The sequence below is a fragment of the Homo sapiens genome, chromosome 6, assembly GCF_000001405.40.
Source record: "Homo sapiens chromosome 6, GRCh38.p14 Primary Assembly".
Classification (NCBI taxonomy): domain Eukaryota; kingdom Metazoa; phylum Chordata; class Mammalia; order Primates; family Hominidae; genus Homo; species Homo sapiens.
Genome location: NC_000006.12, coordinates 41,157,995 through 41,163,773, shown reverse-complemented (window position 1 = coordinate 41,163,773; position 5,779 = coordinate 41,157,995). Strand labels below are relative to the sequence as shown.

At 53.9% G+C, this 5,779-nt stretch overlaps 1 protein-coding gene across 2 annotated transcripts; it reads left to right on the top strand.

Moving 5' to 3' along the window:
* On the top strand, positions 658–5,266 carry TREM2 (triggering receptor expressed on myeloid cells 2). 2 transcript variants are annotated; one of them, NM_018965.4, is made up of 5 exons: positions 658–731; positions 2,161–2,511; positions 3,892–3,982; positions 4,708–4,901; positions 4,994–5,266. In NM_018965.4, exons 1-5 carry the CDS (start codon positions 692–694, stop codon positions 5,008–5,010), a joined length of 693 nt encoding a protein of 230 aa, NP_061838.1. In that variant the 5' UTR covers positions 658–691; the 3' UTR covers positions 5,011–5,266. The 2 variants fall into 2 exon arrangements, with proteins under 2 accessions (NP_061838.1, NP_001258750.1); NM_001271821.2 differs by lacking the exon at positions 4,708–4,901.

Here is a 5,779-nt window from a genome sequence, read left to right as displayed (position 1 = left end):
GTCAGGCCCTACTGGAAAGCACTTTACCTGTAGGAACCCATATGGTGCTCCTGATAACCCTTTGCACTATCATTATTCCCACTGTATAGATCAGGGAACAGACACAGGTAGGTTTTGGATGTGTGGTTACACACCCAGAAAGTCAGGAAGTCTGGCTCCAGAGCTGTGTACTTAACTGCTGCCACACTACAGGAATGACAGCCCTGGGGGGATGAACTAAGAGGTGCTGGATGAGGGTCCTGGCCTCTAAAGGCACAGCTGTTCTCCAACTCTTGCAAGGCTGAAACCAGAAGATGGCGGGCATTGCAGCTGGTGGAGGGTCTGAATACAGCTGTGAGGATAGTGATCCCTGGGCTAGGCTCTGCAAGGAAACTGAGCAGTGCAGGGCCTTACCAGCCCCAACCATCTGGGGGCCACCCTGGCTGGCACCAGCAGGAGGGTGGGCTGGCTTCTCAGAGGTCTGGGAGACTCAGCCTCCTTCTGCCAGGGCTGCAGTGGCCGACTCCTCCTCCCCTCTGTCCCCACCCTGCACCGCCTCCAGACCCCAGTCCTGACTATTGCTTAATCCCCAGGAGCCCAGTTCCTGTGGGCAGCGCCTGACATGCCTGATCCTCTCTTTTCTGCAGTTCAAGGGAAAGACGAGATCTTGCACAAGGCACTCTGCTTCTGCCCTTGGCTGGGGAAGGGTGGCATGGAGCCTCTCCGGCTGCTCATCTTACTCTTTGTCACAGGTAGGATCCCCTCCGTGCCCTGTGATGCCTTCTCTCCCTCACTTTGAGCATGTGGTTGGGGCGCGGGTGGTGGGCCCTGGGGTGAATTATGAAGGCGGTGGCAGTCCTCGCATGCCTGAGTGCCCTGTTCTGCACTCCTCTCCTCCCCACCCTGCCCATATTCTTCACACCCTCCTTCCCTCCCCAGTATCAAAACCTACCCTCAGACTCTTTCTGCATGTGGACATGTAAGGGGCTGGTGGACTCTGGTTGCATTGGAAGGGAAGGAGTGCTAACAGTGGCATCCCAGGCACTAGCTGGCAGTTGGGGGAAGCTTTGGGGGGCACTGGCACTGGTAATAGCCTCTGAAATTATAAGCCACTAATTATGAGCCCCTACAGTTATAAAGGAGGAAAGAACCTGAGGATGTTCATCTGCATCTTTGGGGCACTCTCTCCCCTGCTCTGAAGGTCCCCTTGTCCTCAGCTCTTGATGGGAGGTGAGGAGCGTAGAGATTTCCGTTGCTGAGTTGAGGGGAATTGACACACCAAATTTTTGTACACAATTGCTTCTTCCCGCTGAGGAAAGCGCACCTTTTGCTCCCCCAGAGCACTGGACAAACCTGGGCAAGAGGAGAGACGGTGCCAAATGGAGTCTTGTTCCTGCAGCTTCTTAGATGGTGGTCAGGGGGAAGGCGGGGTTCTGAGGCATGGATGGGAGGTGGTCAGATGGGAGAGGGCCACGGCCCATCTGGTCTCTCTAGTTCCAAAAGGCAAGCCACCAACTTCCCAATCCTATCTTTCAAGCCTCTGTCACAGTAATGGTTGAAGATGGCAGGCAAGGGAGGACCAAGAGAGAAGTCAAAGCAGGGGGCTCTGGGGGCTGCCCCAGCAACAGGCTGGTGCTCTAAGCCCATCTCCCCCGCCCTAAGGAGGGTTCCCAAAATAGCAGCCTCATGTCTCCCCCAAAATATCTCCGAGACGGGTCCTTCCTGAAAGGGGAACAAAGCCACAGAAATAGGGAAGCTGGAAGTTAAAGGTCAGGAAAGTCGGTACCAATGTGGGCGGCTGCAGAGCAAGCAAGAGTGGCGGGGCAGGGAGAGCCAGCCCCAGGCCGAGAGGAGAGGTCCCAGTCCCAAATGATGGCAAAGAGATGTGCAGAACAGAACTGGAGGGGGTTTTAAGACCAAGTGCCTCCAGAATAGACCCAGAGAAGGTCAGTTACTTCTCCAAGGAGGCCCAGCAAGAGCAACAGTGAGAAAACCAAACCCAGGTCCCAGGTTTCCTGGTTCCCAATTTCCCACAAACACATGCTGTGCCATCCGCTCCCAACTTGTATAAGAACCTAAGCTCCTTCAGGGCAGGATTTTTGTCTGTTTAGGTCACTGCACAGAGCAAGTGTTCAAAGCGTATTTGGTAAACAAAGGAGTGAATGAATGTCTCCTCCCCAGAGCTGTCCGGAGCCCACAACACCACAGTGTTCCAGGGCGTGGCGGGCCAGTCCCTGCAGGTGTCTTGCCCCTATGACTCCATGAAGCACTGGGGGAGGCGCAAGGCCTGGTGCCGCCAGCTGGGAGAGAAGGGCCCATGCCAGCGTGTGGTCAGCACGCACAACTTGTGGCTGCTGTCCTTCCTGAGGAGGTGGAATGGGAGCACAGCCATCACAGACGATACCCTGGGTGGCACTCTCACCATTACGCTGCGGAATCTACAACCCCATGATGCGGGTCTCTACCAGTGCCAGAGCCTCCATGGCAGTGAGGCTGACACCCTCAGGAAGGTCCTGGTGGAGGTGCTGGCAGGTGAGTGGGCAGTGGCTGCCTCTCTGGCCTGCCCCTGTTCCAGGCCTCATGTTTTGGGCGTCTGTGTGCAGAACCACCCACTGGGCTCTCAGGGATCCTGGGAAAACCCATCGTATGGTCTCATCTCCCTACTCAGGGCTACCAAGGATAGTTGTGCAGGTTGCTCACTATACAAGGGGGCCAAAATCCAGCCCGGACTCCTTTTGCCAGACTGTGTTCCCTGGTGCAGAGCTGCATCACCTGCAAGAAGGGCACCTTTCTCTACTTTGCATTAAGGCACTCTGTGAACTAGCCTGGCCTTGGCCCTCCTTGCCCAAACAGCTTTATCCATCTCCATCCAGTTAGCATGTGAACATGATAGGAGGTCCTTAAGGAGGAGGAGATTAATTTATTCCCTCACCAACCAACCAATGGCCCTATCAACGTAAGTGAAGCACCAACCTGGTGCAGAAAATCACCCCTAGAAAGGAACACTGCTTGTGCTGGGCAATGTGCTTCACTTCTCTGGGCCTCCATTCTCTCATCTGTAAATGGAGAGGGTGGTGTCTGTCCTGCTGACCCCATAGGGTTCCTGTGAGTTTTTATTTGGCGGGGGGCGTTGGGGGCAGGGTGTGACATGTGCTCCAAGCCTCCTGCTACTGAACTGTCTTGGGATCGTCATTCCAGGTGTGAGTAGGTGGGCCAGGGTGTCTCCTTTCCACCCCCGAGCTCTGCGCAGGGACCACCCTCCAGGAAGGCCTTCTGCTTGAGTCTGCAGAACACAACTGTGTCCCCAAAGGAGAACAAATCTGGGGCTACAAAGGCCTTTTCTGACTCTCCTCCTTTCCAACCCCTTCTCCCAGTATGGCTCTTTACCATGGAAATGAGGTCAGGAGTAGTATTTGCCTGACTTGGGGAGGCCAGGGGAGACTGCCAGTCATAGACACAAACCCCACCTCCACCACTTTCCTAAGGATGGCCGGTGGCAGTGAACTCCCTTAGCCACCTCCCAAGAGGGAGACAGAAAAATAAAAGTAGCCCATAGCTTGTGTAGACAGCTTGACAGTTTAGATAGGATTTTCAAGTACATCCACGATTGTATTTGCTCTTCTTAGCCCCTGTGCGGAAGGAGGGGGGCATTGCAGTTACTGAGCTCCGATGAGGTGCTGGATACGGCACAGAGGTGCCCTCACGGAATCCTGGCAACCCTGCTATTAAGGAAGTGTTCCTAACGGCCCACTTTATAAGTGGGGAAACTGAGGCTTATGGAGTGTAATGACCTGATCCACATAGGACCAGTGCCCAGGGGACCTCACCCCACCCATAAAGGTTCTCCCGCCAAGGTTCTCCCCCTGCCTCGAGGAGGAAGGGGCTGGAGGCTCATGGCTCTGCCTCCCATAGACCCCCTGGATCACCGGGATGCTGGAGATCTCTGGTTCCCCGGGGAGTCTGAGAGCTTCGAGGATGCCCATGTGGAGCACAGCATCTCCAGGTACAGCGATGGGTCTTTCCTAAAACCCGTGGGCAGACTTCCACCCTGCAGAGCCCCACGGGGGTGGGGGCTGGGCATCCTGAACTACAAATTACAAGGCAACTAGAGCCTGAAGGGCCCTGGATATCTCTTATGTAAACACCCCTCCACCAGCTGCTACATGTTAGTTAGTTAGCGTGACTGTGTCAGTTGTTCATTTATTGGAAGACTTCCATAATGCTTTGTAAAGAGCAGTTGCTCTACGACTCCTGAATATCAGCTCCCGCCCCTCCCCTGGCAGCCCCCAGACATCCCCATAATTCAGCAACAATGAATGTTTTAGTACTTTAGTACAAAGCTAAGACCCCCAGATCTCTGCTTCATTGGTAGGACCAGAATCAGTTCTGACTGGTCCATGCCTGTGTACTGGTGTTTAAACGTTGTTCATATAACCACATGTGTGTACACACACACACCCATGGCATAGCACTGTATACAGAAGAAAACTGCTCAGTGAGGGAAGGTGGTGTGTTTAAGTGCACTCAGCAGGTTAGTGGCAGAGCATGCCTAGAACTCAAGTCTCTTGACTATGGGCTCCCAAAGCTCCAAAAAGGCCCATCCCAGGGATGGTGCTGGGTGGGATTTGCTGAGGTCCTAGAAGCTCCTGGTTTCTCCCCATTCCCTGAGAGAAGATTCTAATCTGTAGGCCATCTCAAGGCTCCCATCTGCCTTCTTGTCTCTCCAAGGAGCCTCTTGGAAGGAGAAATCCCCTTCCCACCCACTTCCATCCTTCTCCTCCTGGCCTGCATCTTTCTCATCAAGATTCTAGCAGCCAGCGCCCTCTGGGCTGCAGCCTGGCATGGACAGAAGCCAGGGACACATCCACCCAGTGAACTGGACTGTGGCCATGACCCAGGGTATCAGCTCCAAACTCTGCCAGGTGGGCTTGGAGAGCACAGCCATCAAGGGTGGACTGGGCAGGGATGGGAGGCGGTGCCGAGAGGGGCCACATGAGTCCTTGGACTATTGCAGGGCTGAGAGACACGTGAAGGAAGATGATGGGAGGAAAAGCCCAGGAGAAGTCCCACCAGGGACCAGCCCAGCCTGCATACTTGCCACTTGGCCACCAGGACTCCTTGTTCTGCTCTGGCAAGAGACTACTCTGCCTGAACACTGCTTCTCCTGGACCCTGGAAGCAGGGACTGGTTGAGGGAGTGGGGAGGTGGTAAGAACACCTGACAACTTCTGAATATTGGACATTTTAAACACTTACAAATAAATCCAAGACTGTCATATTTAGCTGGATAGTTTTGGGCATCATGAAAGTCTCATTTTCTTCCACAGGGGTAAGAAAATGAATTTGGATGAGAAAAAGACAAGAGATTTTGCTCCTTGAGGCCCAGGACCATAGGATACCACATCCCTCCATTCTCACAGGCTCAATCAGCCAGTCAGTTTTTTTCTTCTCTCTCTTCCCTTCCCTAGATCTGATCGCCAAGTTCTGCCTCCTCCTCTGGGGTTTCTCTAGCACCCAGTCTTCCTCTGCTCTCCTCCCCAGCATTCACCCTCTCCATCAGCTTCCCCTGGATTATGGAACCTCCCTGCCCCAAGGCCCCCTCCAGCTGACTCAGTTCTTCCCCACCAAGGTCAACTCCTGGCAGACTCATCCATTCATCTCCTTAGAACTCTGTTTTCATCATATCATTTCCCCTTCGGAGAAATGACAAGGGCTTGATAATGTACAGCATTATCAAACTGGGAACTGATGGTTCAAGCCCCTCATCATATAGAAGGGAAACTGAGGCTCAACAAGGGAAA